The 27,251-nt window shown below is 53.7% G+C and overlaps 3 protein-coding genes across 9 annotated transcripts in view, besides 33 other annotated features; 2 read left to right on the forward strand and 1 right to left on the reverse strand.

Moving 5' to 3' along the window:
- Positions 349–20,972, forward strand: C4B (complement C4B (Chido/Rodgers blood group)). The gene is made up of 41 exons (NM_001002029.4): positions 349–464; positions 597–795; positions 1,010–1,211; positions 1,421–1,491; positions 1,570–1,658; positions 1,877–1,959; positions 2,130–2,226; positions 2,365–2,470; positions 2,568–2,700; positions 9,484–9,599; positions 9,699–9,878; positions 10,024–10,206; positions 10,339–10,524; positions 10,678–10,836; positions 11,088–11,214; positions 11,382–11,456; positions 11,717–11,914; positions 12,006–12,117; positions 12,208–12,278; positions 12,537–12,676; positions 12,790–12,999; positions 13,244–13,295; positions 13,397–13,486; positions 13,622–13,831; positions 14,011–14,086; positions 14,247–14,403; positions 14,499–14,615; positions 14,721–14,892; positions 15,120–15,352; positions 15,435–15,602; positions 15,996–16,055; positions 17,105–17,198; positions 17,296–17,482; positions 17,597–17,687; positions 17,778–17,852; positions 19,344–19,446; positions 19,612–19,701; positions 19,787–19,885; positions 20,068–20,151; positions 20,414–20,546; positions 20,690–20,972. The coding sequence occupies exons 1-41, from the start codon at positions 400–402 to the stop codon at positions 20,829–20,831; spliced, it is 5,235 nt and encodes a 1,744-aa protein (NP_001002029.3). The 5' UTR covers positions 349–399; the 3' UTR covers positions 20,832–20,972.
- Positions 18,979–19,359: an enhancer, noted in NCBI's record as "-4.6 to -5.0 fragment". NCBI's record gives the evidence for it as "EXISTENCE:reporter gene assay evidence [ECO:0000049][PMID:10608879]".
- Positions 18,979–23,992: a promoter, noted in NCBI's record as "-5.0 kb promoter". NCBI's record gives the evidence for it as "EXISTENCE:reporter gene assay evidence [ECO:0000049][PMID:10608879]".
- Positions 19,056–19,336: a promoter, noted in NCBI's record as "-235 to +30 promoter for Z transcript". NCBI's record gives the evidence for it as "EXISTENCE:reporter gene assay evidence [ECO:0000049][PMID:8589688]".
- Positions 19,084–19,112: an enhancer, noted in NCBI's record as "F1 (-205/-177)". NCBI's record gives its function as "enhancer when multimerized" and the evidence as "EXISTENCE:reporter gene assay evidence [ECO:0000049][PMID:10608879]".
- Positions 19,127–19,160: an enhancer, noted in NCBI's record as "F2 (-162/-129)". NCBI's record gives its function as "enhancer when multimerized" and the evidence as "EXISTENCE:reporter gene assay evidence [ECO:0000049][PMID:10608879]".
- Positions 19,127–19,160: a protein binding site, noted in NCBI's record as "F2 (-162/-129)". NCBI's record gives the evidence for it as "EXISTENCE:protein binding evidence [ECO:0000024][PMID:10608879]".
- Positions 19,217–19,238: a transcriptional cis regulatory region, noted in NCBI's record as "F3 (-73/-51)". NCBI's record gives its function as "contributes to enhancer stimulation by Nr5a1" and the evidence as "EXISTENCE:site-directed mutagenesis evidence [ECO:0005528][PMID:10608879]".
- Positions 21,381–23,992: a promoter, noted in NCBI's record as "-2.6 kb promoter". NCBI's record gives the evidence for it as "EXISTENCE:reporter gene assay evidence [ECO:0000049][PMID:8582328]".
- Positions 21,390–21,475: an enhancer, noted in NCBI's record as "-2574/-2489". NCBI's record gives the evidence for it as "EXISTENCE:reporter gene assay evidence [ECO:0000049][PMID:8390355]".
- Positions 21,410–21,428: an enhancer, noted in NCBI's record as "enhancer B region". NCBI's record gives the evidence for it as "EXISTENCE:reporter gene assay evidence [ECO:0000049][PMID:8390355]".
- Positions 21,410–21,428: a protein binding site, noted in NCBI's record as "enhancer B region". NCBI's record gives the evidence for it as "EXISTENCE:protein binding evidence [ECO:0000024][PMID:8390355]".
- Positions 21,452–21,476: an enhancer, noted in NCBI's record as "enhancer D region". NCBI's record gives the evidence for it as "EXISTENCE:reporter gene assay evidence [ECO:0000049][PMID:8390355]".
- Positions 22,295–23,960: a promoter, noted in NCBI's record as "1.6 kb promoter (BglII/ApaI fragment)". NCBI's record gives the evidence for it as "EXISTENCE:reporter gene assay evidence [ECO:0000049][PMID:2162843]".
- Positions 23,426–25,228: a meiotic recombination region, noted in NCBI's record as "this region was identified as a region with an increased recombination rate within the HapMap CEU population". NCBI's record gives the evidence for it as "EXISTENCE:nucleotide sequencing assay evidence [ECO:0000219][PMID:20981099]".
- Positions 23,426–26,698: a biological region, named in NCBI's record as "CYP21A2 recombination region". NCBI's record gives its function as "recombination_partner: LOC108004539".
- Positions 23,801–23,822: a protein binding site, noted in NCBI's record as "H21-a". NCBI's record gives the evidence for it as "EXISTENCE:protein binding evidence [ECO:0000024][PMID:1517227]".
- Positions 23,837–23,870: an enhancer, noted in NCBI's record as "cAMP response element". NCBI's record gives its function as "mediates induction by cyclic AMP" and the evidence as "EXISTENCE:reporter gene assay evidence [ECO:0000049][PMID:2162843]".
- Positions 23,846–23,866: a protein binding site, noted in NCBI's record as "-120 to -100 DNase I footprint". NCBI's record gives the evidence for it as "EXISTENCE:nuclease protection assay evidence [ECO:0001106][PMID:1334085]" and "EXISTENCE:protein binding evidence [ECO:0000024][PMID:17666484]".
- CYP21A2 (cytochrome P450 family 21 subfamily A member 2) lies at positions 23,969–27,198 on the forward strand. 4 transcript variants are annotated; one of them, NM_000500.9, is made up of 10 exons: positions 23,969–24,178; positions 24,276–24,365; positions 24,648–24,802; positions 24,910–25,011; positions 25,100–25,201; positions 25,303–25,389; positions 25,559–25,759; positions 25,960–26,138; positions 26,222–26,325; positions 26,423–27,198. In NM_000500.9, exons 1-10 carry the CDS (start codon positions 23,977–23,979, stop codon positions 26,686–26,688), a joined length of 1,488 nt encoding a protein of 495 aa, NP_000491.4. In that variant the 5' UTR covers positions 23,969–23,976; the 3' UTR covers positions 26,689–27,198. The 4 variants fall into 4 exon arrangements, with proteins under 4 accessions (NP_000491.4, NP_001355072.1, NP_001355073.1 ...); NM_001368143.2 differs by having other exon boundaries at positions 24,629–24,802; positions 26,423–27,196; NM_001368144.2 differs by lacking the exon at positions 24,276–24,365 and having other exon boundaries at positions 24,629–24,802; positions 26,423–27,196.
- Positions 24,114–24,410: a non allelic homologous recombination region, noted in NCBI's record as "sub-region CH-4', recombines with sub-region CH-4 within the CYP21A1P recombination region". NCBI's record gives the evidence for it as "EXISTENCE:nucleotide sequencing assay evidence [ECO:0000219][PMID:11134109, PMID:1905948, PMID:22156666]".
- Positions 24,574–24,581: a non allelic homologous recombination region, noted in NCBI's record as "sub-region CH-9', recombines with sub-region CH-9 within the CYP21A1P recombination region". NCBI's record gives the evidence for it as "EXISTENCE:nucleotide sequencing assay evidence [ECO:0000219][PMID:22156666]".
- Positions 24,636–24,686: a non allelic homologous recombination region, noted in NCBI's record as "sub-region CH-6', recombines with sub-region CH-6 within the CYP21A1P recombination region". NCBI's record gives the evidence for it as "EXISTENCE:nucleotide sequencing assay evidence [ECO:0000219][PMID:19624807, PMID:22156666]".
- Positions 24,687–24,979: a non allelic homologous recombination region, noted in NCBI's record as "sub-region CH-1', recombines with sub-region CH-1 within the CYP21A1P recombination region". NCBI's record gives the evidence for it as "EXISTENCE:nucleotide sequencing assay evidence [ECO:0000219][PMID:22156666]" and "EXISTENCE:restriction fragment detection evidence [ECO:0001124][PMID:12376740]".
- Positions 24,858–24,870: a nucleotide motif, noted in NCBI's record as "nucleotide motif; similarity to the predicted 13-mer PRDM9 A binding motif (LD hotspot motif), CCNCCNTNNCCNC".
- Positions 25,045–25,060: a nucleotide motif, noted in NCBI's record as "nucleotide motif; similarity to the predicted 16-mer PRDM9 C-type binding motif, CCNCNNTNNNCNTNNC".
- Positions 25,102–25,355: a non allelic homologous recombination region, noted in NCBI's record as "sub-region CH-2', recombines with sub-region CH-2 within the CYP21A1P recombination region". NCBI's record gives the evidence for it as "EXISTENCE:nucleotide sequencing assay evidence [ECO:0000219][PMID:22156666]" and "EXISTENCE:restriction fragment detection evidence [ECO:0001124][PMID:12376740]".
- Positions 25,370–25,736: a non allelic homologous recombination region, noted in NCBI's record as "sub-region CH-7', recombines with sub-region CH-7 within the CYP21A1P recombination region". NCBI's record gives the evidence for it as "EXISTENCE:nucleotide sequencing assay evidence [ECO:0000219][PMID:20970527, PMID:22156666]".
- Positions 25,745–25,974: a non allelic homologous recombination region, noted in NCBI's record as "sub-region CH-5', recombines with sub-region CH-5 within the CYP21A1P recombination region". NCBI's record gives the evidence for it as "EXISTENCE:nucleotide sequencing assay evidence [ECO:0000219][PMID:22156666]".
- Positions 25,796–26,698: a meiotic recombination region, noted in NCBI's record as "meiotic double-strand break mapped by DNA meiotic recombinase 1 chromatin immunoprecipitation followed by single-stranded DNA enrichment and sequencing in the germ cells of some male individuals with the PRDM9 A/B genotype". NCBI's record gives the evidence for it as "EXISTENCE:chromatin immunoprecipitation-seq evidence [ECO:0000229][PMID:25395542]".
- Positions 25,976–26,088: a non allelic homologous recombination region, noted in NCBI's record as "sub-region CH-3', recombines with sub-region CH-3 within the CYP21A1P recombination region". NCBI's record gives the evidence for it as "EXISTENCE:nucleotide sequencing assay evidence [ECO:0000219][PMID:22156666]" and "EXISTENCE:restriction fragment detection evidence [ECO:0001124][PMID:12560361]".
- Position 26,090: a non allelic homologous recombination region, noted in NCBI's record as "sub-region CH-8', recombines with sub-region CH-8 within the CYP21A1P recombination region. This sub-region is marked as 3' partial since the 3' end of the sub-region is unknown". NCBI's record gives the evidence for it as "EXISTENCE:nucleotide sequencing assay evidence [ECO:0000219][PMID:22156666]".
- Positions 26,212–26,227: a nucleotide motif, noted in NCBI's record as "nucleotide motif; similarity to the predicted 16-mer PRDM9 C-type binding motif, CCNCNNTNNNCNTNNC".
- The window catches only part of TNXB (tenascin XB), a 68,186-nt gene continuing 67,641 nt past the window's right edge, over positions 26,707–27,251 (reverse strand). For all 4 annotated transcript variants that reach the window (NM_019105.8, NM_001365276.2, NM_001428335.1 and 1 more), the window contains one exon: positions 26,707–27,004. In NM_019105.8, the coding sequence (NP_061978.6) occupies positions 26,903–27,004 (102 nt within the window). In that variant the 3' untranslated portion in view covers positions 26,707–26,902. The remainder of the gene's footprint in view (positions 27,005–27,251) is intronic.
- Positions 27,162–27,251: part of a biological region, named in NCBI's record as "tenascin XB recombination region", that runs on past the window's edge. NCBI's record gives its function as "recombination_partner: LOC106780804".
- Positions 27,162–27,251: part of a non allelic homologous recombination region, noted in NCBI's record as "sub-region TNXA/TNXB-1', recombines with sub-region TNXA/TNXB-1 within the tenascin XA (pseudogene) recombination region", that runs on past the window's edge. NCBI's record gives the evidence for it as "EXISTENCE:restriction fragment detection evidence [ECO:0001124][PMID:15081125]".

Consider the following 27,251-nt stretch of genomic DNA (forward strand, 5'->3'; position numbering starts at 1 on the left):
CTGTCATTGTTTTGTGAGGGCCTTTAAATATCCTGTACTCGTGGGCCATGTTGGGCCCTTGTACGCCCAGGTATACATGAGCTTGTGTGCACCTATACCCTGATACAGATATACCTGGTAGGGGGAGGTGCTCAGGCACTGGAATGAGAGGAGTTAACGGGGAAGGACAGGGTTATTTCTGGGCCAAGATTCAGAGTTTCCCATGGACACCCAGGTGTCCGGGGTGCCCCCACAACTCTGGGCCTGAGGCCAGTTGCACTTCTTGGCTGTCACGTGGTTTCCCAGCTTAGCTGGGCTGGGGGAGGAGCAAGGTCCAGAGTCAACTCTGCCCCGAGGCCTAGCTTGGCCAGAAGGTAGCAGACAGACAGACGGATCTAACCTCTCTTGGATCCTCCAGCCATGAGGCTGCTCTGGGGGCTGATCTGGGCATCCAGCTTCTTCACCTTATCTCTGCAGAAGCCCAGGTCCTGGAGGCGGGATGCTGGGTGCTTGGATTGGGGCAGGGCTGGCATCGGGACCCGATTCAGGAGTGAGGGAGAGCAGGGGTGGAGGTGTCAGAGCGAAGTCTGACTGCTGATCCTGTCTGTTCTCCCCAGGTTGCTCTTGTTCTCTCCTTCTGTGGTTCATCTGGGGGTCCCCCTATCGGTGGGGGTGCAGCTCCAGGATGTGCCCCGAGGACAGGTAGTGAAAGGATCAGTGTTCCTGAGAAACCCATCTCGTAATAATGTCCCCTGCTCCCCAAAGGTGGACTTCACCCTTAGCTCAGAAAGAGACTTCGCACTCCTCAGTCTCCAGGTAACCAGACCCCATGCCCTCCTGCTGCTTGTGGGGGCCTCCTGCCCTGTTCCCATCTGTCTTGTAAGTGTCATCATCTTCCCACTGGCCTCCTCCCCTCCTGTCTTCCCACCCTGGCATTCTCCTTCCACGTTTCTCCCTTGGTCTCTGTCCTTTTTGGTCAGCTGTCTCTTGCTCTGTGACCCGCTCCCTCTCCCTCTCCCTCTCCTGACAGGTGCCCTTGAAAGATGCGAAGAGCTGTGGCCTCCATCAACTCCTCAGAGGCCCTGAGGTCCAGCTGGTGGCCCATTCGCCATGGCTAAAGGACTCTCTGTCCAGAACGACAAACATCCAGGGTATCAACCTGCTCTTCTCCTCTCGCCGGGGGCACCTCTTTTTGCAGACGGACCAGCCCATTTACAACCCTGGCCAGCGGGGTGAGTCTCAGCCCCAGGGCCTCAACCTTTAACCCCCTCCGAGCCCTCTCAGGATGAGTTTGGTGCCCCCTAAGTGAGATAACCTGAAAGAAAGTGCCACACAGAAGGGGTGCTTAGGAAACATTTGTCCCCTGCTCCCTCTGTGGAGTTTGACCCACCCTCCCCTTGCACATGGACCCCTGCTCACCTCTCTCCTCCTCCACTCCCAGTTCGGTACCGGGTCTTTGCTCTGGATCAGAAGATGCGCCCGAGCACTGACACCATCACAGTCATGGTGGAGGTGAGTCCCCGACCTCTGGCCTTCCTGATCCTGGCCACTGATGTGACCTCCTGCCTGTGAGCACTTCTCCCCTTGCAGAACTCTCACGGCCTCCGCGTGCGGAAGAAGGAGGTGTACATGCCCTCGTCCATCTTCCAGGATGACTTTGTGATCCCAGACATCTCAGAGTGAGCGCTCCCAATGTGGGGGCTGCCCCCAAGCTACACCACCCCAATTCCTGTTAGGCTCTCCACCTCCCACACAGAGGCACGTCCCCAGATGCCCTGACCCTCAGCCTCCTGAGCCTCTGGTTAACCCCCACAGTCCTCTTCCCAGGGAAGCAGGCTGCTGGCTCTCCGTGCCCCACTGTACAGATGGGCTGAGCCCCTTCCTTGTCCATTCTCAGGCCAGGGACCTGGAAGATCTCAGCCCGATTCTCAGATGGCCTGGAATCCAACAGCAGCACCCAGTTTGAGGTGAAGAAATATGGTGAGAGCTGGAAACTGGAGGGACAGGCAGCTGCTTTCCTGAAGGAAATAAGGGTGGAAGGAGAGGTACTGGGAGCAGCTCAGGGCAGGGAGATATGGGTGCCACAGCCCTGAGCAGAGGGGAGTCTTTGAGCTGGAGTCTGACCTGCCTATCCCTTCACCCTGGGTCAGTCCTTCCCAACTTTGAGGTGAAGATCACCCCTGGAAAGCCCTACATCCTGACGGTGCCAGGCCATCTTGATGAAATGCAGTTAGACATCCAGGCCAGGTAATACCTCCCTCCCCACCTCTGCCCACCAGCACCGGGTCCTGCTCCCTACTCAGTATGAATGGGCTCCTGCTTCCCTGCCCTCGGGCCATTATTCCCCCCAGCCCTTGGCCCACCCTCTTCTCTCTGCCACGACAGGTACATCTATGGGAAGCCAGTGCAGGGGGTGGCATATGTGCGCTTTGGGCTCCTAGATGAGGATGGTAAGAAGACTTTCTTTCGGGGGCTGGAGAGTCAGACCAAGGTAGGAAGGAGAATAGGGGCTGGGGAGGGGAAGGGGCAAGGGAGGTGAGGTGGGAGACTCAGTCTCACCCTATGTCCTGTTTCTTTCTATGCCCCAGCTGGTGAATGGACAGAGCCACATTTCCCTCTCAAAGGCAGAGTTCCAGGACGCCCTGGAGAAGCTGAATATGGGCATTACTGACCTCCAGGGGCTGCGCCTCTACGTTGCTGCAGCCATCATTGAGTCTCCAGGTGGGTGACTTTCCCTTATTGTAACCCCAGACCCTTGCCTCTGACCTCTGAGCTAACCCTCTGTCCTCCGGCACCAACACCACCCCACTTCTCACATCTCATCTCAGACTCAAAACCAGGAAACACCCAGGAGACCTGGTTTCTCTCCAACTCTGTCTCTGTGACTCGGCCCTTTTCCCTGGCTGAGTTTATTTATTTCTTTGCTCGTTCTGCTCATTCCTTCACTCCTCCAGTGGACATGTGTTGTTCAATGCCCCGTGCTAGGCCTCAGCATGCACAGACATGTTGGGGACCAGCCTCAACGCCACCCGTAGGGTTCCTGAAGTCCATTGGTGACACAGGAATGAGAAGAGACAGGTTAAGAGTTCATAAAGAGTGGGGGCCAGGGGGCCAATTGCAAAATGGAGGCTGCAAAAGGCTCAGAGCTCTGGTCTCCACACTATTTTTTGAGTACAGTCACTCAGATCTAAGAAGCAGATGTTCAGGGAGAAACAGTGAAAGGGAGGCAGTGGGTCATAGGCGTAATCTATAGCAATAGAGTTTTAAATGAATCTCCTTTGTGCTCAAACAGCATGTCTTTAAATTATCGGAGAGTAGCTGGTGGAAGTGGGCTTAGCTAGAAGACTGCATGTCTGTCCAATGCTTCAAAGGAGGGTCTTTCTCCTTGAACAGAGTGTTTACAGATAAGACAGGGGGTCTCACTCTGAGCATGGGAACATGATGGCAATTAGGAGGCTTTTCTTCTCAGAGGCCTCTTGTGGCTTTCCACAACTTATTGTCTCATATTTTTATGGACAGTTTATACAGGCACCCCACAAGTCCTTTTCCCAACATGCCCCCCTCCCTTTTTTTTTTTTTAACCGCTATTGCTATTATGGCTTATTTGTGGTGTTTGGTCTGTTTTCAGAAGTGTCTTTTGCATCTGTAGACTAAAAGTAAACAGCATAAACAGATACACATTAAAGTAAAATTTGTAATAGTTGATCCTTTAATGGTCTTAATCTGTTTAAGAGGATTTATGTTTGAAAGTCCGTCAGTAGCTCCAATGAGAATGTCAGTCTCAGGCAGGAGGGTTAAATGAGCCTGAGATGCTTTAAAAACCTGTTTTTTTAAAATTTGGTTATATTTAATGTTAAATTTTTATTTTTTTCTTTTAGATGATGTCTAACTTTTTAAAAATGATGTTTAGTAGTATTATACGAATGGGGAGTTATGTAGAAATTGGAAGTATTTCAATTACATTGTACTTCTAATTGATGTTTTAAGTTTATTGTACGATCTTCCATTTAAATAACAGTCTGTCTAAGATCATTTGTTTGATTTGTCAATTGTTGGTCTATTTGGGTCTGAGAATTCCACAATTTTGAGGAATTTTTTGTTAACTATTTATATATTTTGTAGTTTGAACAGAGGAGTGTAAAGCAATTCCAGCAGCCGCAGCAGTAGCTGTGACTGCAATAAGGCCCATAAGACTGTTATAAGGGTAAAAATAAATCTCTTTGTTTTGGTAAACACTTTTTTTTAAAACATTTTTGTGACAATATGAATGGAAGGAGAGGCTTTCTAAGGTCTATTGAGGGAAACCAGTATCCAAACTCCTTTCTTAGTTTTTATCAGTAACACAGATGTTTTTACACCGAACGTGGAATTAATACAGGTGAAAAGGTGACAGTTTTGACAAGTAATAGTTTGAGAATTAGGTCGAATGTCAATATTTTTGACCATTAACATAAAAGGAGGGTTGACACAACTCTGAATGGGCACTGTTTTGTTGGAAGAAAACTGATACGCAAATTGAAGTTTTTAACCTTTTTTTTTTAAAGATAATATATTTTTTTCTAAACTTAAATATGAGATTGGGCCATTATTAACTTTCATAATTTGGAGTGTTTAGGGCCTATTATTGGATTAATTATTTTGGGATGTGGGCCAGCTGTACTAAAATTGGTCCAAATTATGGGAAAATGAGCACGTTTTTCAGTGTAAGTAGTGTTACCTTTTTGATAGTATAGTTTCTGTTTTAGTTTTGTCTTGTATTTATTATTTTGATGGGTACAATTAACTGTAAAGGTCCCCTCAGGGGACCAATTAATGACAATTTCATAGGAATTATTTTGTAGTACCATAGTGTGATCAGAGATGTAATTTTTTTTAATTAATATTTTTAAATTATTTGACCATTGTTAAGGTTGTTGGCACCTCTTTTTTGGGGGCTTAAACTGTTAATTGAATTGAACTCTGTGAATGATCCGGGCTCCATCCAGAAAATAAATGATAGGATACTGGTCTTTGATTATGACCTGGAATTTTAACTAGTCAATGTTGTCGGTAGCCTTTTAGGCAACCGATAGTTGGCCTTATGTAAAGAGGGGGGAACTGATAACCTATGGACACATTTATTAACTTTTTTTTTTTTCCTTTGGGTGAGAGGGCCCATGAGTATTTGTAGGCTTAGGGATCCAAACGCTATTATTAACATAAACTTCAACTGGGGGTTTTAACCATGTGACAGGCCTAATTAAAGGCAGGAATGGGACACATGCCCAATAGGTATAATTTTGGGCTGTTGTAGCCACAGGTTTGTTAGGCGAGGAGGTCACTGTTTTTATTTTGGCTTTGTATTCTAGGATTAGTAAATAACAGAAGACAAACATGAGTATAATTAGTAACTTTTTTTTTTAGTAAAAGAGTGACCTGTAGTGTTACTTGGCATCTTAGTTTACTATATGTTATTAATGAGGAACCCCACTGGGGGTATGTTAATTTATTCTAGCTAAGCAGTTATGTTATTAGAAGCTGAGAAGGGGGTGTTTGTTAAAGTAACAGGGCAGAAGAAAGGCGGATTTAAGATACGAGCTTAATACAGTGTAGCAGGTATAGGTAGTAGGCAAAGTGAGAGAATTAAAAATGAATAAATTATTTGGCTTAGACTTTTGTTTTTTTAGTATAATGTCTGAGGCCTGTGTTGTTTGTGGAAGTCGCATTGTTGAGGCTGTAGTTCCTGTAGGGTCTTTTTTAGGCTGGTTCAAATGTTTTTTTATTTTTTAATTTTTTATCCTTTGATGAGGATGTAGTCTTTAGGCTGGTACTGGAAATTTTAGGAGTGGCGTCTGTGTTAAGAGACTTTTTACAATTTTTAAAGAGCAGGTTAGTGTTTTAAGAAAAACTTGTGTTTTATTTTAATGTTTAGTTTATAGAAAACTGGATGATATCTTTTTAACTTTAGTAAATACGTTTACACACGGAATTTTTTACAATTATCATTTTAAAACTTGTTTAGATCTTTAAAACAAAATTAAACAACCTTTTTTGTATAAATTTTTTATAACTTTTTTTATGACTTTTACAGACAATTTTTAACATGTCTTAACTTTTTATGTTTTATAATTTTTTTACTAAAGGTACATTTTTATAACTTTTTAAATTTTTTTACTTTTTTGTATTTTTTTGATTTTTGTCTTAGTCTTTTTTTTACTTTTATTTTTTTAAATGTGTAATAATTAGATGAGTGTTGGTAACAATGGATGTATGTACATATTTTAGTTTTTAAAATTTAGGGATGTGTTTAACATCTGTTTGCCAGAACTGACTAGGTTCCAATTCTTTACGGTTAACACCTATTGAAGGAGGGTATGTGCCTGTGAGCTGGTAATCTGGGCATTGTGGGATAATTTGTTTAGCCAGCCTCTGTGTAAGTTGAAATTATTTAGATAAGTTTCTCCAATTTTGGTGGAATAATCGATGTGATTGGGTGGCTTGGTCAAGCAGTGATGTCATAACCTGAAGGTCTGCTTGATTATTGCCGTAAGCCAATGGGCCAGGCAGAGAGCTGTGGGCTCGAATGTGTGTAATAAAAGTAGGATGTGTACCTTGGTCTAGTAATTGTTGAAGTTGAAGAAAAAGACCACACAGAGTGGGCTCCAGAGCAAACTTAAGGCTGTAATAGTTTTTAAATAAATACACAGAATAACCTTAGCTCTCTGAATGTTAGTAAATTCAGATCAAGTGATTGGATTATGTGGTCTCCACCAGACTGTTGCTTTTTCATGTTTACCAGACCCACCAGTAAAAACAGCTATGGCTCCTTCCAAAGGGGCATCACAAGTAATTTTTGGAAGAACCTATGTAGTTAATTTTAAGAATTGAAAAGTTTTTAGGATAATGATTATTAATACATCCAACAAATTTTGTTAAATTAATCTGTCATGTAACTGAGTTAATAAATGCCTGTTTAACCTGATTTTTATTTATTGGAACTATAATTTTTATTGGGCTCAGTGCCACAAAATTTAATAATTCATATATGAGCCTGTCCAATTAGAATTGCCATCTGATTTAAGTATACTGTAAGTGCTTTTATGGTATTATGTGGCAAAAAGGACCATTTAACTAAATCATCATTTTGAACAATAACCCCCATTATTGTGTGGTTAGTGTGAAGTAGGGAACACAATGAATTATAAAGGCAAGTCTGAGTCAATCCTACTGACCTGGGCTTGCTGAATTTTGTTTTCAATTACTGATAACTCTTTCATGGCCTCGGGTGTTAGTTCTCTGTTACTGCGTAAGTTGGTATTTCCCCTCAATATTGAGAAGAGATTAGACATAGCATAAGTAGGAATTGCTAAATTGGGCCAAATCCAATTAATATCTTCTAACAATTTTTGAAAATTATTTAAGGTTTTGAAAGAATCTCTTCTAATTTGAACCTTTTGAGGCTTAATGGCTCTATCCTGTACTTGTATTTTCAAATACTGAAAAGGAGTGGTTGTTTGAATTTTGTCAGGTGCTATAAGTAATTCAGCATTTGTAATTGTCTTTTGCAAAGATTAATAATATTGAATAAGTTGGTCTCTACTTTTTGCTGCACAAATCTGGAAACTGATCTCTAACAGGCTGGATAGTTCTGCCTACAAAAGTTTGACAAACTGTGGGACTATTTAACATACCCTGGGGCAAAACTTTCCAATGATATTTGGCTGCAGGTTTTTTGTTATTAACGGCAGGAATGGTAAAGGCAAATTTTTTGAAATCTGCCTCTGCTAAAGGAATTGTAAAAAAGCAGTCTTTTAAATCTATAATAACAAGCGGTCAGTCTTTAGGGAGCACAGTGGGGGATGGGAGCCCAGGTTGTAAGGCTCCCATCGGTTGAATTACAGCGTTGACGCCATCTACCGGACTTTTTCTTAATTACAAATACTGGGGAATTCCAAGGAGAGAAAGTGGGTGAAATATATCCTTTTTTTAGTAGTTTATTTTATAAAGCACCCCCAACTTTTCCTTAGGGAGCGGCCACTGTTCAACCCAGACGGGGCGCCGGGTCATCCATTTTAAGGGAAATTGCTCCTTCACTGTAATAACTGTAGGGTGAACCTGAATTGCCCCATCTCCATAATGAACTGTGGGTCGGGCAATAATGGGCACGGTGAGCCAAGTCTCGGGCTCCCTCCCCCTGCACCCACTCGGCTGAGGAGGAGGTGGCCATTCTGGACATTTCTCTACAGGAACCGTGGGCTGAACAATTTTTTGAGTAGGTTTAGGGAGACTGGGGAGATTGGCATAAATCATCTTCAGACTCTCCTTTTTGTTAGTACTCGGTAGAGGTGGTTCAGAGTTCTGATTATCAAACTCCTCTCTCTCCTCCTCTGACTCAGCCTCATTATCTGTCTGAAAAGGCTCCAGTGCTGCATGCACCAATGACCAAAGCGACCAAACAGGCAAAGGAATTTCCTTTCCTTCTCTATATGCTCTTTTAAGGTCCTTTCCAACTCCTTCTTAATGTTTTAATTTCAAAGTTTCCTGTTTTGGGAACCAAGGGCAAAATTGTTCCATAGCATGAAACAAATCCATAAGATTTTCCGTATCAACTTTTACCCCACCATGCATGCTTGAAGAGCTGCCGTAGGAAGCTCAAATACGTGGTGTACTTACTTTCAGTTTTTCCCATTGTGTCCCTAGCTTTCTCTGGGCGCCCCGCTTACCTGTAGAGGTTAAAACTTTTATGTCCTTGGGAGTCCTTTGTTCGTTGGTCCTCTGTTTCACATGCTTGAGCGTTTCCTCACCAGATTCTTTTGGGCCCCACGTTGGGCGCCAGAATGTTGGGGACCAGCCTCAACACCACCTGTAGGGTACCTGAAGTCTGGTGGTGACAAAGGAATGAGAAGAGACAGGTTAAGAGTTCATAAAGAGTGGAGGCCAGGGGGCCAATTGCAAAATGGAGGCTGCAAAAGGCTCAGAGCTCTGGTCTCCACACTATTTATTGAGTACAATAACTTAGATCTAAGAAGCAGATGTTCAGGGCAAAACAGTGAAAGGGTAGCAGTGCGTCACAGGCATAATCTACAGCAGAAGCGCTTTAAATGAATCTCCTTTGTGCTCAAACAGCATATCTTTAACTTATCGGAGAGTAGCTAGTGGGAGTGGGCTTAACTAGGAGCCTGCACGTCTGTCCACATTCCAATGCTTCAAAGGAGGGTCTTTCTCCTTGAATACAGTGTTTACAGATAAGAGAGAGCAGGTCTCGCTCTGAGCATGGCAATTAGGAGGCTTTTCTCCTCAGAGGCCTCTTGTGGCTTTCCACAACTTATTGTCCCATATTTTTATGGCCAGTTTATACAGGCACCCCACAAGTCCTTTTCCCAACACAGACAGGAATACGGCAGCCTGTGCCCTGGGAGCTCACTGTCTTGTGGGAGGGAACCACTCAAGCCACTCCCCACTTGTCCTCCTGTCCCTCTCTTCTTGGGCTCTGTCCCCCACCTCTCTCTGTCCTTTGTCTTGCAGGTGGGGAGATGGAGGAGGCAGAGCTCACATCCTGGTATTTTGTGTCATCTCCCTTCTCCTTGGATCTTAGCAAGACCAAGCGACACCTTGTGCCTGGGGCCCCCTTCCTGCTGCAGGTTTCTTCCAGAGGGGAAGGATGAGTAGGGAGGATGTGGTAGTTAGGAGGGCTCAGGGTCTGACCACTCTCTTTTGCCTGCCCTCCTTTACCTGCCTAGGCCTTGGTCCGTGAGATGTCAGGCTCCCCAGCTTCTGGCATTCCTGTCAAAGTTTCTGCCACGGTGTCTTCTCCTGGGTCTGTTCCTGAAGTCCAGGACATTCAGCAAAACACAGACGGGAGCGGCCAAGTCAGCATTCCAATAATTATCCCTCAGACCATCTCAGAGCTGCAGCTCTCAGTAGGACTCCTCGGACCCCTGGGAGATGGTGGGGGAAGGGGAGGAGGGTGAGCTGGGGTCCCAAGGATCCATGGCCTGACTTGGGGGGAAGGTGGGGTACTTGGCTCTGAGCTACTACCCTATTCGCACCTGACCCCCTCTCCAGGTATCTGCAGGCTCCCCACATCCAGCGATAGCCAGGCTCACTGTGGCAGCCCCACCTTCAGGAGGCCCCGGGTTTCTGTCTATTGAGCGGCCGGATTCTCGACCTCCTCGTGTTGGGGACACTCTGAACCTGAACTTGCGAGCCGTGGGCAGTGGGGCCACCTTTTCTCATTACTACTACATGGTGTGCATGAGCTGGGGAGTCACGGAGGGCTGGGGTGCAGGGAAGAGCCCTCTGGGTGGGGCTGGGGGGGTTCAAGGCTGAGGCTGTCCCATGAAGAGGCAACCACTCTTGTCCCTCCCATTCTTGGCCCAGATCCTATCCCGAGGGCAGATCGTGTTCATGAATCGAGAGCCCAAGAGGACCCTGACCTCGGTCTCGGTGTTTGTGGACCATCACCTGGCACCCTCCTTCTACTTTGTGGCCTTCTACTACCATGGAGACCACCCAGTGGCCAACTCCCTGCGAGTGGATGTCCAGGCTGGGGCCTGCGAGGGCAAGGTGACCGGGGTCAGGAGAGATGGCACTTGTGCCGAGGGGGTTGAGGACAGGGTGATTGCCAACAGGGCATGGATTTAGCTTGGGGGCAGTGAGGATACCGGGACTGAAGGAAGCTCTCCCACTCTGACCGCCCCCACCTGCCGCCCCTGCCAGCTGGAGCTCAGCGTGGACGGTGCCAAGCAGTACCGGAACGGGGAGTCCGTGAAGCTCCACTTAGAAACCGACTCCCTAGCCCTGGTGGCGCTGGGAGCCTTGGACACAGCTCTGTATGCTGCAGGCAGCAAGTCCCACAAGCCCCTCAACATGGGCAAGGTTTGTCCAGACCCTCTCCACAGCTCTCTCACCCCTCCATGGCTCATCCCCCTGCTTCCCTGAGCCTTGGGCGCAGCCCCTGGATCCCACTGAGGCTCCCCACAGTCTCTTCCCCACTTGGCCCTGTGGTCTCCATCTCCTGGCTCTGTATCCTTTCCTATCCCCCCATGTGCTGCCCTCTCACCTGTGCCGAGTGCTCAGTCCTGCCCCTCAGCCACACTTGGCTCCTAGCATTCCTGCCTTTCTTGCAGGTCTTTGAAGCTATGAACAGCTATGACCTCGGCTGTGGTCCTGGGGGTGGGGACAGTGCCCTTCAGGTGTTCCAGGCAGCGGGCCTGGCCTTTTCTGATGGAGACCAGTGGACCTTATCCAGAAAGAGTGAGAACAGAGAAGGAAGGGGAGTGGGTGGCGGGAAGATAAGGAAGGAGGAAGGGCCTGAGGGGACCAGCTGGAAGAGTCCGGGCAGGAAGGGCTGGGCAGGGGAAGGGGAGGAGGGGAGGAGGCCGAGTGCCTGACGGCTGGACTGCAGCCTTTCTCTCTACCAGGACTAAGCTGTCCCAAGGAGAAGACAACCCGGAAAAAGAGAAACGTGAACTTCCAAAAGGCGATTAATGAGAAATGTGAGTTGCGGGTGCCTAGGCAGTAGCTTGGGCTCTCCACCTGGGATCCGGGTTGGGGGTCTGCCTCTCTGCCCCTCGGCTCCTTGCTGAACCCACGTGTGGTATTTGGGGCCAGAGATCCGAATTCCGGGATTACGAGTGGAAGGTGGGCAGCTCTCTCCAGCAGCCTCTCTTATGTTGCTGGTCTCAAGGGGTCGGGGCGGGGGCTGAGGTGTATGTCCTTTTTGTCCTCTCATGCTCACCCCCACCTGGCCCTGCAGTGGGTCAGTATGCTTCCCCGACAGCCAAGCGCTGCTGCCAGGATGGGGTGACACGTCTGCCCATGATGCGTTCCTGCGAGCAGCGGGCAGCCCGCGTGCAGCAGCCGGACTGCCGGGAGCCCTTCCTGTCCTGCTGCCAATTTGCTGAGAGTCTGCGCAAGAAGAGCAGGGACAAGGGCCAGGCGGGCCTCCAACGAGGTGAGGGGCTGGGTGGGGCTAGGGCACAGGTGGCGGCGCTTGGAAAGGCAGAACGGTCCCCTCCTCACTCCCGTCCACCGTGGTCCCCCAGCCCTGGAGATCCTGCAGGAGGAGGACCTGATTGATGAGGATGACATTCCCGTGCGCAGCTTCTTCCCAGAGAACTGGCTCTGGAGAGTGGAAACAGTGGACCGCTTTCAAATGTGAGAGTGTGTGCCGGCCCGGCCTTTTCTCTGTGCTGTGTCTCGGGGCCAGCCGGGGTAGACGGGCCTTCTCTGCCTTTCCCTACACAGATTGACACTGTGGCTCCCCGACTCTCTGACCACGTGGGAGATCCATGGCCTGAGCCTGTCCAAAACCAAAGGTGATGTCACCCTGTCTGGGCCTCAGGTGACCCTGCTTCCATTTCCCTGTACCCCAGCTCCCTGTTCCCTTTGCTCTTAGTGTAGGAAGAGGGTCCAGTGATCTGGGGAGGTCTGTGCCAGCGTGCAGCTGGCGTGGGCCAGAGGGCAGAGGCGGACTGAGACAGAGCTGGGTCACCCCCACCCCTCCCTCCTGTGGCCCTGAAGCTTTGATGGCCCCTCTGATCTCTGCCCCTGTGCCCACGCTTCCTTTCCCTCAGGCCTATGTGTGGCCACCCCAGTCCAGCTCCGGGTGTTCCGCGAGTTCCACCTGCACCTCCGCCTGCCCATGTCTGTCCGCCGCTTTGAGCAGCTGGAGCTGCGGCCTGTCCTCTATAACTACCTGGATAAAAACCTGACTGTGAGGCCCCATGGGAGCCTGAGCATACAGGAGTTGGGGGAGCCAGGGCCCAGTGAGGGGTGGGGAGGCTAACCGGGCCAGGACTCTGGCCATCCTCGTTTTCCTGCCCTCAGGTGAGCGTCCACGTGTCCCCAGTGGAGGGGCTGTGCCTGGCTGGGGGCGGAGGGCTGGCCCAGCAGGTGCTGGTGCCTGCGGGCTCTGCCCGGCCTGTTGCCTTCTCTGTGGTGCCCACGGCAGCCACCGCTGTGTCTCTGAAGGTGGTGGCTCGAGGGTCCTTCGAATTCCCTGTGGGAGATGCGGTGTCCAAGGTTCTGCAGATTGAGGTGAATGGAGCACCCCTGAATATAAGTCCCCGGGCCCCCAGCTTTGTCCTCCACCCTCAGCACTCTCTCTGCTGGCCAGGCCAGGGGCCCAACACCCAAACCAATGCCTTGGTCTGTTCCCATCTTCTACAATTCTGATCCAACTCTGTCCCTGGAGTTGAAACTCAAAGTTCTGGGGGAGTCTGCGCTAGCAGGGCAGGCTGTAGTCCTGTGTGACCTCACAACCATGTTTTCCCTGAGACAGAAGGAAGGGGCCATCCATAGAGAGGAGCTGGTCTATGAACTCAACCCCTTGGGTGAGTGACCCTCTACCTCCAGCCATTGGTTTCCTAAGTGGGTACAGGTGGTGGGGGATGTGGACAGCAGGACAGGCTGCCAACTTCCCCCATTTCCCCAGACCACCGAGGCCGGACCTTGGAAATACCTGGCAACTCTGATCCCAATATGATCCCTGATGGGGACTTTAACAGCTACGTCAGGGTTACAGGTGGGAGTGCCCTTTAGTCCCTTCCCAGTGGCCACCTTCGGATTCATGTGGGACTTGTGGATCCCTGCTTGGTCCCACTCCCCGTGAGCCTCTGACACAGAGTCCTCAGACCTCCACCCTCTCCCTCCCATGTAGCCTCAGATCCATTGGACACTTTAGGCTCTGAGGGGGCCTTGTCACCAGGAGGCGTGGCCTCCCTCTTGAGGCTTCCTCGAGGCTGTGGGGAGCAAACCATGATCTACTTGGCTCCGACACTGGCTGCTTCCCGCTACCTGGACAAGACAGAGCAGTGGAGCACACTGCCTCCCGAGACCAAGGACCACGCCGTGGATCTGATCCAGAAAGGTTCTGGGTGCAAGGGCAAGCAGGAGGGGGGCCAGGAAAGGACAGTTACTGGAAGATGGACAGCCCAGGAGGCTACAGAGGGAAAGAAAGGGGGCCCCTGATGAGGATGGGGAGCATGGCCTTGGGCTCAAACAGCAGAAGGGTGAGTGTCACCTGAGCGGCCACCTCTCCTCTCCAAGGCTACATGCGGATCCAGCAGTTTCGGAAGGCGGATGGTTCCTATGCGGCTTGGTTGTCACGGGGCAGCAGCACCTGGTGAGCTTGGGAGAGTGGTTCCAGGGTTCTGAGGGGGTCAGGGCTGGGGCAGGGGTGGGACAGAGCTGGTATGATGGGAGGGTGGATAACCAGGCACCTGGGGGCGTGGGCATAATGAGAAGCAAGTCCTTATCCCCAACCCTCCTTTCCTGCCCTCCAGGCTCACAGCCTTTGTGTTGAAGGTCCTGAGTTTGGCCCAGGAGCAGGTAGGAGGCTCGCCTGAGAAACTGCAGGAGACATCTAACTGGCTTCTGTCCCAGCAGCAGGCTGACGGCTCGTTCCAGGACCTCTCTCCAGTGATACATAGGAGCATGCAGGTGCGGGCATGCTGGGGCTGGCCCGAGAAGCGCCTGTCGGAGGACTCTCTTTGCCCCTTCCCCCTCCTGTTTGACATCTTTTCTCCCCTTACTAGGGGGGTTTGGTGGGCAATGATGAGACTGTGGCACTCACAGCCTTTGTGACCATCGCCCTTCATCATGGGCTGGCCGTCTTCCAGGATGAGGGTGCAGAGCCATTGAAGCAGAGAGTGGTAAGTTCAGTGGCGTTTCTGCCCTCTGCTGGCCCCCAGCTCTCTCCCTTTTTCCTCAGGAACCCAGGGGTCCAGGCCCAAGACCCTCCTCCCGTTTTCTTCCAGGAAGCCTCCATCTCAAAGGCAAGCTCATTTTTGGGGGAGAAAGCAAGTGCTGGGCTCCTGGGTGCCCACGCAGCTGCCATCACGGCCTATGCCCTGACACTGACCAAGGCCCCTGCGGACCTGCGGGGTGTTGCCCACAACAACCTCATGGCAATGGCCCAGGAGACTGGAGGTGAGGGGTGAGGGGCTCTGGCAGTGAGCCTGAGGCCCAGGGGACCTTAGGATCCCTGAGTGTGCCCAGAGGGAGAGGCTGGATGAAGACTCAGAGGAGGAATGAAGTTATAAGCAGGGGTGGGTTGGGGGAGACTCAGGAGAGCCCAGCAGGGGGTGGCTAAGGGCCAGGGGACCAGGCTCTTCTCCCTGCCTTCCTGTTTACTCGTGGTCTCCCTTCACTTTCAGATAACCTGTACTGGGGCTCAGTCACTGGTTCTCAGAGCAATGCCGTGTCGCCCACCCCGGCTCCTCGCAACCCATCCGACCCCATGCCCCAGGCCCCAGCCCTGTGGATTGAAACCACAGCCTACGCCCTGCTGCACCTCCTGCTTCACGAGGGCAAAGCAGAGATGGCAGACCAGGCTGCGGCCTGGCTCACCCGTCAGGGCAGCTTCCAAGGGGGATTCCGCAGTACCCAAGTAGGGGCCGTCCCCGGGCTCTGGCGGGGGTGGGTAGTCCTCAGACCAAGGGCTTGCTTGAGTCCTGGCTCAACCTCCCTAGGACACGGTGATTGCCCTGGATGCCCTGTCTGCCTACTGGATTGCCTCCCACACCACTGAGGAGAGGGGTCTCAATGTGACTCTCAGCTCCACAGGCCGGAATGGGTTCAAGTCCCACGCGCTGCAGCTGAACAACCGCCAGATTCGCGGCCTGGAGGAGGAGCTGCAGGTGAACCACTCCCTGGTGAACCACTCCCTCGCCTGGGTAGCCAGGACACCTGGGCCTCGTGGCCAGGCCAGAAGCCGTCCCCACCCTCCCACCCGTGGAATCCCCGCAGCACTTCTTCCTGGGGTCTTCGGGGGAAGACTGACTTCCTGGCTGCGTGACCTGGAGCTCTGAGCTTCAGTTTTCTCACTTGTAGAGTAACATACACAGAGTTCACCCTACAGGGTCGTTAGAAGGCTGAAGTGAGATAATTCATGTGCTGGTATAAACTTTGTGGAAATGTGAGGTGGGGAGAGGGGGTGGGGCTGTTTTGAGGAAGGAGATAAGTTATTGGAGCCGCAAAAACAGGTTTGCTTGTGCCCTTCTAACATCGCCTTCCCTTTTCTGTTGCTGAAGTTTTCCTTGGGCAGCAAGATCAATGTGAAGGTGGGAGGAAACAGCAAAGGAACCCTGAAGGTGAGGGCCAGGGAAGGGGTGGGGCCAGGCACTGGTGGAGGAGAGGGTGTGGAGTGAGAGGCCTGTGGGCAGAGGCACATGGTCCGGGGAAGGAGGCAGACACCTCAGGGTTGGTGTCCCGTGCTTCCGTCCTGGGTGTTTTTCCCCCTGCTTGCTTTCGCTTGCTCTCCCCATCTCTGGGTACCTGTTGTTTCCTTTACCCGCCTCAGTGCTGGTGGCTCCGAATCCCACTCCTCAGCCCAGGCCTCTTCCCTGAACCATGGGCCCCACTCGTCCCACTCCCACAGCACCTCAGACGAGGCATGTCCCAAAGCCCTTCTTCATTCTGTGTCTCTTGTCTGGCTGGTGGGAGCCCCTCCCAGCCAGGAGCCCAGCCACTACTCTAGAGGCCGTGTTAGTGGCCCCTCTCCCAAGCCTGTCCTTATGTCCCTAGTGACTCCTCCTCTGCTCCCCTGCTGCCTGTGGCCCTTGGTGCTGCATCCTAGATTCTGTGCTGAGACGGCCTTCTCCCTACCTGGAACTTCTCTCTACCTCCTGTCTCCCCTGTCTGATCCACTGTCCACACGGCAGTGACACTGACCTTCCAAAAGCCCCAGCCAGATCAGCCTTGGGGAAAAGTCACTCCCCGCTGCCCACGGCTCAGATGGCTGGGCCTCTGCCCACCCCTCCGGCCAGACAGCTCTCCTTGTCTACACAGATCCCCTTGCCTTTCCTGTCCTTCCCTGCTTCTTGGCCCACAGGACAAGCTCTTTCTTCTCCTTCAAGCCTTGGCCAGAAGCCTTTCCTGAGCTTTTCAGTCCAGCCTCTTCCCAGCACAGTCTGGAGTGTTGGCCTCTGGGGGCAGGCCCCTGCTTCTTTACCTCTCTGTCTCGCCTGACGCCTGTGGCGAATGTGGTGCCACTCGTGTGTGTGGACTGTGCAGTGACGGGGAGGAAAAGGGGCTGAAGGCCTCAAATCCTGTAGCCCAGGGAGATGCCCTTAGGTATGGCACCAGAGAGGTCTGTGGCCTCACATGTCCCACGTCCTCTCCCTGCCCCTTGCTGAGCCAGGTCCTTCGTACCTACAATGTCCTGGACATGAAGAACACGACCTGCCAGGACCTACAGATAGAAGTGACAGTCAAAGGCCACGTCGAGTACACGAGTGAGTGTGGGGGTTGGGAGGCCTTGGGGCCAGGCAGGGGCTGGCGCAGGGAGCCGGGTGGCCATCCCAGCCCTCCTCACAATGCTTCCCTGTGCAGTGGAAGCAAACGAGGACTATGAGGACTATGAGTACGATGAGCTTCCAGCCAAGGATGACCCAGATGCCCCTCTGCAGCCCGTGACACCCCTGCAGCTGTTTGAGGGTCGGAGGAACCGCCGCAGGAGGGAGGCGCCCAAGGTGGTGGAGGAGCAGGAGTCCAGGGTGCACTACACCGTGTGCATCTGGTGGGCGCCGGGAGCTGCCCTGGGCCAGGGGAGGGAGGGCAGGACCCAGGCTGGGGCTGGGCTTCTGGAGCCCGCGCAGGCAGAACCTGGACGACAGCTCACACGTCTCCACAGGCGGAACGGCAAGGTGGGGCTGTCTGGCATGGCCATCGCGGACGTCACCCTCCTGAGTGGATTCCACGCCCTGCGTGCTGACCTGGAGAAGGTGTGGTCAGCCACCCAGGGCAACCCCCTCTGTCCCAGGTACTGAGCCCTGTCATGTGCAGGGCCTGTGACCAACTCCCCTTTTCCACAGCTGACCTCCCTCTCTGACCGTTACGTGAGTCACTTTGAGACCGAGGGGCCCCACGTCCTGCTGTATTTTGACTCGGTGAGTGGGGAGAGATGAGGCAGGAAGGGACTCGATGGCACCGGGTTTACTGAGTATGCGTTAGGAGGTTTCTCAGGAGACAGCTGTGTCAGCGGCTGGTGCTCTTGAGAACTTGTGATGTCATCAGAGAGAAGGACAAGAATGTGAGCCCGTGAGACACAGCAGAGTAAGGGGCAGACCTGCAGGCGGCAGGGACCGATGCCAGTCAGCAGGGACCCTCAGGGTTTGAGAGGGAGTCTTTCCTAATGCTGGTTTTATTCAGCTTGAGGGGCTGCCTTTGTTTTTTTGTTGAACTTCCTATCTTTTTTTTAATATTAAAGCGTATTTTCCTTTACAAAGTGATGGTGGCCATAGATGATAGTTGTATTTGTCTTTTCACGACCTTATTTGGCTAAAATAGTTATCAACCCTCTTACGGCTCTCAAAACATTTTTATTTATTTATTTAGTAAAGACAGGGTCTCGCTCTGTTGCCCAGGCTGGTCTTGAACTCCCGGCCTCAAGCGATCCTCTGGCCTAGGCCTTTCAAAGTACCGGATTTACAGGCCAGAGCCACCATGCCCGGCCTTCAAAAAAAGTTTTGGAACATTTACTGTAACCTCTGGGAGAAAATGTGAGAAAGGTGTGGTGGCTGTCATTAGCCAGCTGTTTGTAGGTCAGGGAGACCCCTACCCAGTGTGTGCAGAGGGGCCAGCCCCCATCAGCTGGGGAAGCCTGGCTGACACATCTGGGTTGAACACAATAGAAAACACAGAGCCAACAAGATTCCCGGATAGGGAGCTGACGGTGCAGCAGCCTAGCTCAGGAGGGACACTGGCACGGCACCGTGTGGACTGGGCCCGCGTGGGCACGAGGAGGGGTCAGGCCTGGGACCTGAGTCGGGGGGTCAGGCAGGATGACAGAACCTGCAGTTAGGTTGTGGCAAATAAAGGAGGACCCAGTTGTATCCATGACAAAGATGAGGCCGCGAGGAGGGCGAGTGGGTTTGGGGGCAGGCAGAGTGCCTTGGAGAACTTACAGGTCCTGCCACAATCCTAATGCAAGGATGGAGCTGCAAGTTCAGTTTGGGAATCATCAGCCTGGATTGGTTTGGTGGAAGCCAGGGAGTGGTTGAGACCCCCACAGGGGAGCTCTGAGGAAGGAAGTTCCGAAGGAGGGAACGTAAGAAATGACCAGGTCAGAACCAAGGGTGGTCCAGAAGCTAACCCTTAGCTTAGGGACAGTTTCACAGAGAACACGTCCATGATGCAAGACTCTGCTGAGGGCCTGGAGCAGTGAAGACTGGGGCAAGGTCACCCTCTGGGAAGTGAAGTCACCAGAGACCTTGCGGAGCAGCTTTGAGAGTTCTCTGAGTAGGAAGGTAACAGAATGTGAAGGACACTGGAGAGAAGGCCAATAGGAAGCAAACAAAAACAGGCCAAGGAAACCCAGTACAGGGGGCTGCAGGGCCCAGGGAGTGGGTCCCTCATCTCTCCTCCCCACGCTTGGCCAGGTCCCCACCTCCCGGGAGTGCGTGGGCTTTGAGGCTGTGCAGGAAGTGCCGGTGGGGCTGGTGCAGCCGGCCAGCGCAACCCTGTACGACTACTACAACCCCGGTGAGCACTGCAGGACACCCTGAAATTCAGGAGAACTTTGGCATAGGTGCCCTCCTATGGGACAATGGACACCGGGGTAGTGAGGGGGCAGAGAGCCCTGGGGCTCCCTGGGACTGAGGAGGCAGAATGGAGGGGCCTGTGCCCTAACTCCTCTCTGTTCTCCAGAGCGCAGATGTTCTGTGTTTTACGGGGCACCAAGTAAGAGCAGACTCTTGGCCACCTTGTGTTCTGCTGAAGTCTGCCAGTGTGCTGAGGGTGAGACTGAGGGCCTGGGGCGGGGCAGTGGAGGCGGGATGGCCGGGGCCCCCCCCACACTGTCTGATGGGTTCCCCAACTTCAGGGAAGTGCCCTCGCCAGCGTCGCGCCCTGGAGCGGGGTCTGCAGGACGAGGATGGCTACAGGATGAAGTTTGCCTGCTACTACCCCCGTGTGGAGTACGGTCAGTCTTCCCACCGAGGCCCTGGCCTGACCCTCCCTCGGGGACCGGCCGTTTTGGTCTCTCTGGGTGTAGCCTGCTCCTCTTACAGGTCATGCACGCAGCCTGTTTGCTCTGACACCAACTTCCTACCCTCTCAGCCTCAAAGTAACTCACCTTTCCCCCTTCTCCTCACCCCCTCTTAGGCTTCCAGGTTAAGGTTCTCCGAGAAGACAGCAGAGCTGCTTTCCGCCTCTTTGAGACCAAGATCACCCAAGTCCTGCACTTCAGTATGAAGCAAACCGGAGAGGCGGGCAGGGCTGGGGGGAGACAGGGAGGCTGAGGTGTGGCCGAGGACCTGACCATCTGGAAGTGTGAAAATCCCCTTGGGCTGTCAGAAGCCTTGGGCTTGGCCATAAATAGGGAGGCAGTGGCACCTCTCCATGGGGGTGGCGAAGGTGGAATGAGAGGATCTACACAGAGTCCCCAGCCTGGGCTCACCCTGCACCTTCTCTTCCCCTCTGACCACTTTTGCGCACGTCATCCCCGCAGCCAAGGATGTCAAGGCCGCTGCTAATCAGATGCGCAACTTCCTGGTTCGAGCCTCCTGCCGCCTTCGCTTGGAACCTGGGAAAGAATATTTGATCATGGGTCTGGATGGGGCCACCTATGACCTCGAGGGACAGTGAGTCATCTGGTCCCCTCAGTCTCTTGTCCTCCCCATGCCTCGCCACCTAGGCCTTGCCCCTCAGAAGCCAGATGCCTGTGCTCTCCGTTTCCACCTGCCATCCTCCCGAGCCCTGCTGACTGCCCCTTTGCCCCCTGCAGCCCCCAGTACCTGCTGGACTCGAATAGCTGGATCGAGGAGATGCCCTCTGAACGCCTGTGCCGGAGCACCCGCCAGCGGGCAGCCTGTGCCCAGCTCAACGACTTCCTCCAGGAGTATGGCACTCAGGGGTGCCAGGTGTGAGGGCTGCCCTCCCACCTCCGCTGGGAGGAACCTGAACCTGGGAACCATGAAGCTGGAAGCACTGCTGTGTCCGCTTTCATGAACACAGCCTGGGACCAGGGCATATTAAAGGCTTTTGGCAGCAAAGTGTCAGTGTTGGCAGTGAAGTGTCAGTGTGTGTTGCTAGGGCTGAGAGCAGTGCCCCTGCCCGATGCAGTTCTGGGCAGGCCAGGTTGACATAACCTTAGACTCTCTGAGCCCTGATGACCCTTGGGCTGTTCAGCTCTGCTAGAACCTCCCAGATGACCCGCTAGGAGTCTAGTGCTTCACAGGACCACCCCGAGCAGAACTGGGACCCAAGAGCCTGCACCCCAAGGACCAGAGTCCATGCCAAGACCACCCTTCAGCTTCCAAGGCCCTCCACTGCCCGGCTGTCGCCAGTCACCACGGCCTCAGACAGGGCTTGTGCTCAGCTGACACCTGTGACACAGCTCTTCTGCCTCATGAGCTGTTGTCCAGCTACACCTCCCCGACTCTGTCCTCGTGCTGCTGGCGGTTCTGAGGTCTGCAGATTTTAGCTGAGTTCCGGGCTGTTGAAAGCCTGCTGACGCTTGGTTCTGTTATCAGTGGAATGAGGTGACTTTCCCGGAGTTGTGCAATCCTCAGGTCCGGCAGTGTCTTCTTCCAGTTACTGGTTTCAAACAAGCCAAAAGTCTGACTTTGGTGTGTTTGTGAATCCTCTGAGGAAGCCGCTGTTCTCCTGGGGTCTCCCCTTCCCACCGGACCTGCCTAACTTTCCCCCATTTAGTGGCACACCTGGGGTCTTCAGAGATGACTCCGCGTCTGTCCAAAGAAGTTTGGTGAGATCAGTTTCCGTAGAGGTCATGACAGTTCAGCAGCCTGCCATCCAGTCATTCGACAGAAATTCGGGAATCTTTCACTTCATGCCATGCCCTGTGCCAGGTGCCAGAGATACAGCTGCTCACTCCAGGGCTCATCGCTGGGGAGACAGATAAGAGGACGGGCAGTCCCCACCCTCTGTGAAAGATGTGATGTCAGGGAGCAGTGTGGTCCTGTGGGGCATCTAACCAAGTCAGGGGCATTGCCAGGCAGGGACAGGGAAGGCTTCCTGGAGCAGGTGGCCTCCAAGTGGGGCTCTGAAGACTGAGAAGGAGCCAGGAAAAGAGCAGGGGTAGATGAGGGCATCTGGGGCAGAAGGAGAATATACAAAGGCCCAGAGGCCGGGGGCAGGACAGGGTACCTTTGGGGACATTGCATGTAATTGACCACATTCGGAGTTTGGATTTGGAAGTGGTGGAAGAGATGGAGATGGTGAGACAAGTAGTAAGCACGTCAGCCTTCCAGGTGCGCTCCTTTCCGATGAGCACTGTCTTATCCCACGTAACTTTGAGAAGTTTGGGCCTTTCCCACTGTGGCAGAGGTTTCCTGAGGCTCTTGCATACATGGCCCTATGGTTGCTCATCAGATCTTTCTCCCAGTAGCTGCTCAGCATGGTGGTGGCATAAGCCCATTTTCCGGAGCCAGGGATTCAGTTGCAGCAAGACATGGCCCGGTCTGGGAGGTCAACCATGAAGAAGGCAGTAGCTGTCATTGCCCAACCCCAGAAATCCCAATCCTGTTTTCTCCCTCTCAGTCCTGATCATGGATTCAGCAGCAGCGAACTCGCCAATGTAGTGGGTGGCACAGCCAGGGTCTTGACTCTGGCTCTGCAGTAGCACAGTCTGGAAAAGCTCTGAGGGGAGAGAGACCCCCACTGGTCCGAGGGTCTGGCACAGAGCCAGAAATGGGGGGGAAGGTATGGGGCTGGGTCGCCTCTGACCTCTCAGGTACCATCCAGGAGGCCCTGGCCTCTCACTGAACCCGGCCACTCCTCTTTGGCATGGCCTCTTCCCAAATCCCCAAACTGCCTCCTTACCCACAAAAGTGGTCTCTGAGTGTCAGTCCAGTGGGACCCCCACCCCTTATGGCTTCAGTTCCCCAAATAGGGCTGGACCCTTGATCCTGATCCAGCTGTGGCTATCCAGCCCCTTCCTGGGGACTTTGGACTTTGAGGGGGGCATGCCCAGTTGTGCTGGGAATCCATACTTTCCCTGGCTGGAGTAGAACCTGTGGACTGTAGTCCTGAGGGCAGTCATGTTCTGCCTGTGCCTGGAAACACAAGAAACTTGACTGCAGAGAGAAGAAAGAGGAGAGAGGAACAGAGCGAGGAAACCGCCCGTCTCCGGGGCTTTTTCTGTTCCCTATCCTTGACTTTCTAAGACCAGTGGGGTCCCCTCCTCTGCTTCTTTTTCCTGAGTTCTGTGAAATTCCCCAATTCTTATTTTTTATCTCAAACCAGCTCAAGGTGGGCTGTTTTCCTTTCAACCAAAGAAAGGTGCTCCTGGTGGCTAAAGGTACATATTCGACAGCTAGATTTCCAGGCTGGAATCCTGCCCTCCACAACATGCGAACAATACCCGTGTTGCATATAGAGCATGGCTGTGAAGAGTTGAGTGAGTGCCCACAAAGCACTTAGAGCAGTGTCTGGTACATGCTATTACTCCGCAGCGGGAAACCACTTCCTCCTTTGTCTTCTGGGCACTTTTGTGAGTGAAAGGAGGCACTAATAACAATCACACTGGGATACCTGTATATACTGGAATGCCCCAGGCAAACCAGGCTTAAACTGTATTACTCTATCTGTAGCTTAAACTAACAAACAACCCACACAAATCACATTTTGTTCTTCAGGCGATTCAGGAAGGCCTATTAGGCAGGGACTGCCATTTTCTCTCTGAGACAAACATCATGCCAGTAAACTGGCCCACGGTGGGGTGGCAGAGGGAGAGGGCCCAGGTGGGGGCGGACACTATTGCCTGCACAGTTGATGTGGAACCAGAAAGCTGACTCTGGATGCAGGAAAAAGGTCAGGGTTGCATTTCCCTTCCTTGCTTCTTGATGGGTGATCAATTTTTTTGAAATACGGACGTCCCAAGGCCAATGAGACTGGTGTCATTCCAGAAAAGGGCCACTCTGTGGGCGGGTCGGTGGGAGGGTACCTGAAGGTGGGGTCAAGGGAGGCCCCAAAACAGTCTACACAGCAGGAGGGATGGCTGGGGCTCTTGAGCTATAAGTGGCACCTCAGGGCCCTGACGGGCGTCTCGCCATGCTGCTCCTGGGCCTGCTGCTGCTGCTGCCCCTGCTGGCTGGCGCCCGCCTGCTGTGGAACTGGTGGAAGCTCCGGAGCCTCCACCTCCCGCCTCTTGCCCCGGGCTTCTTGCACCTGCTGCAGCCCGACCTCCCCATCTATCTGCTTGGCCTGACTCAGAAATTCGGGCCCATCTACAGGCTCCACCTTGGGCTGCAAGGTGAGAGGCTGATCTCGCTCTGGCCCTCACCATAGGAGGGGGCGGAGGTGACGGAGAGGGTCCTCTCTCCGCTGACGCTGCTTTGGCTGTCTCCCAGATGTGGTGGTGCTGAACTCCAAGAGGACCATTGAGGAAGCCATGGTCAAAAAGTGGGCAGACTTTGCTGGCAGACCTGAGCCACTTACCTGTAAGGGCCGGGGGCATTTTTTCTTTCTTAAAAAAATTTTTTTTTAAGAGATGGGTTCTTGCTATGCTGCCCAGGCTGGTCTTAAATTCCTAGTCTCAAATGATCCTCCCACCTCAGCCTCAAGTGTGAGCCACCTTTGGGGCATCCCCAATCCAGGTCCCTGGAAGCTCTTGGGGGGGCATATCTGGTGGGGAGAAAGCAGGGGTTGGGGAGGCCGAAGAAGGTCAGGCCCTCAGCTGCCTTCATCAGTTCCCACCCTCCAGCCCCCACCTCCTCCTGCAGACAAGCTGGTGTCTAGGAACTACCCGGACCTGTCCTTGGGAGACTACTCCCTGCTCTGGAAAGCCCACAAGAAGCTCACCCGCTCAGCCCTGCTGCTGGGCATCCGTGACTCCATGGAGCCAGTGGTGGAGCAGCTGACCCAGGAGTTCTGTGAGGTAAGGCTGGGCTCCTGAGGCCACCTCGGGTCAGCCTCGCCTCTCACAGTAGCCCCCGCCCTGCCCGCTGCACAGCGGCCTGCTGAACTCACACTGTTTCTCCACAGCGCATGAGAGCCCAGCCCGGCACCCCTGTGGCCATTGAGGAGGAATTCTCTCTCCTCACCTGCAGCATCATCTGTTACCTCACCTTCGGAGACAAGATCAAGGTGCCTCACAGCCCCTCAGGCCCACCCCCAGCCCCTCCCTGAGCCTCTCCTTGTCCTGAACTGAAAGTACTCCCTCCTTTTCTGGCAGGACGACAACTTAATGCCTGCCTATTACAAATGTATCCAGGAGGTGTTAAAAACCTGGAGCCACTGGTCCATCCAAATTGTGGACGTGATTCCCTTTCTCAGGGTGAGGACCTGGAGCCTAGACACCCCTGGGTTGTAGGGGAGAGGCTGGGGTGGAGGGAGAGGCTCCTTCCCACAGCTGCATTCTCATGCTTCCTGCCGCAGTTCTTCCCCAATCCAGGTCTCCGGAGGCTGAAGCAGGCCATAGAGAAGAGGGATCACATCGTGGAGATGCAGCTGAGGCAGCACAAGGTGGGGACTGTACGTGGACGGCCTCCCCTCGGCCCACAGCCAGTGATGCTACCGGCCTCAGCATTGCTATGAGGCGGGTTCTTTTGCATACCCCAGTTATGGGCCTGTTGCCACTCTGTACTCCTCTCCCCAGGCCAGCCGCTCAGCCCGCTCCTTTCACCCTCTGCAGGAGAGCCTCGTGGCAGGCCAGTGGAGGGACATGATGGACTACATGCTCCAAGGGGTGGCGCAGCCGAGCATGGAAGAGGGCTCTGGACAGCTCCTGGAAGGGCACGTGCACATGGCTGCAGTGGACCTCCTGATCGGTGGCACTGAGACCACAGCAAACACCCTCTCCTGGGCCGTGGTTTTTTTGCTTCACCACCCTGAGGTGCGTCCTGGGGACAAGCAAAAGGCTCCTTCCCAGCAACCTGGCCAGGGCGGTGGGCACCCTCACTCAGCTCTGAGCACTGTGCGGCTGGGGCTGTGCTTGCCTCACCGGCACTCAGGCTCACTGGGTTGCTGAGGGAGCGGCTGGAGGCTGGGCAGCTGTGGGCTGCTGGGGCAGGACTCCACCCGATCATTCCCCAGATTCAGCAGCGACTGCAGGAGGAGCTAGACCACGAACTGGGCCCTGGTGCCTCCAGCTCCCGGGTCCCCTACAAGGACCGTGCACGGCTGCCCTTGCTCAATGCCACCATCGCCGAGGTGCTGCGCCTGCGGCCCGTTGTGCCCTTAGCCTTGCCCCACCGCACCACACGGCCCAGCAGGTGACTCCCGAGGGTTGGGGATGAGTGAGGAAAGCCCGAGCCCAGGGAGGTCCTGGCCAGCCTCTAACTCCAGCCCCCTTCAGCATCTCCGGCTACGACATCCCTGAGGGCACAGTCATCATTCCGAACCTCCAAGGCGCCCACCTGGATGAGACGGTCTGGGAGAGGCCACATGAGTTCTGGCCTGGTATGTGGGGGGCCGGGGGCCTGCCGTGAAAATGTGGTGGAGGCTGGTCCCCGCTGCCGCTGAACGCCTCCCCACCCACCTGTCCACCCGCCCGCAGATCGCTTCCTGGAGCCAGGCAAGAACTCCAGAGCTCTGGCCTTCGGCTGCGGTGCCCGCGTGTGCCTGGGCGAGCCGCTGGCGCGCCTGGAGCTCTTCGTGGTGCTGACCCGACTGCTGCAGGCCTTCACGCTGCTGCCCTCCGGGGACGCCCTGCCCTCCCTGCAGCCCCTGCCCCACTGCAGTGTCATCCTCAAGATGCAGCCTTTCCAAGTGCGGCTGCAGCCCCGGGGGATGGGGGCCCACAGCCCGGGCCAGAGCCAGTGATGGGGCAGGACCGATGCCAGCCGGGTACCTCAGTTTCTCCTTTATTGCTCCCGTACGAACCCCTCCCCTCCCCCCTGTAAACACAGTGCTGCGAGATCGCTGGCAGAGAAGGCTTCCTCCAGCGGCTGGGTGGTGAAGGACCCTGGCTCTTCTCTCGGGGCGACCCCTCAGTGCTCGGCAGTCATACTGGGGTGCGAGAGAGGTGGGCAGCAGCTCAGCCTCCCCCCGCTGGGGAGCGAAAGTTTCTTGGTCTCAGCTTCATTTCCGTGAAGGGCACCGAGAACTCGAAGCCCTTCCAGTGGTACCAGCTCACTCCCTGGGAAAGGGGTTGTCAAGAGAGAGTCAAAGCCGGATGTCCCATCTGCTCTTCCCGTTCCCCTTAAGGAGGTAGCTCCCAGCACTCAACCAACCTCCCCGCAGAGCTCCCTTCCTGACCCTCCGCTGCAGAGGATTGAGGCTTAATTCTGAGCTGGCCCTTTCCAGCCAATAAATCAACTCCAGCTCCCTCTGCGAGGCTGGCATGATTGTTCCATTTCACCCAGCCACTCAGTCCCTTGCCTGTT

This window comes from Homo sapiens, chromosome 6 (genome assembly GCF_000001405.40).
Source record: "Homo sapiens chromosome 6, GRCh38.p14 Primary Assembly".
Taxonomy (NCBI): Eukaryota; Metazoa; Chordata; class Mammalia; order Primates; family Hominidae; genus Homo; species Homo sapiens.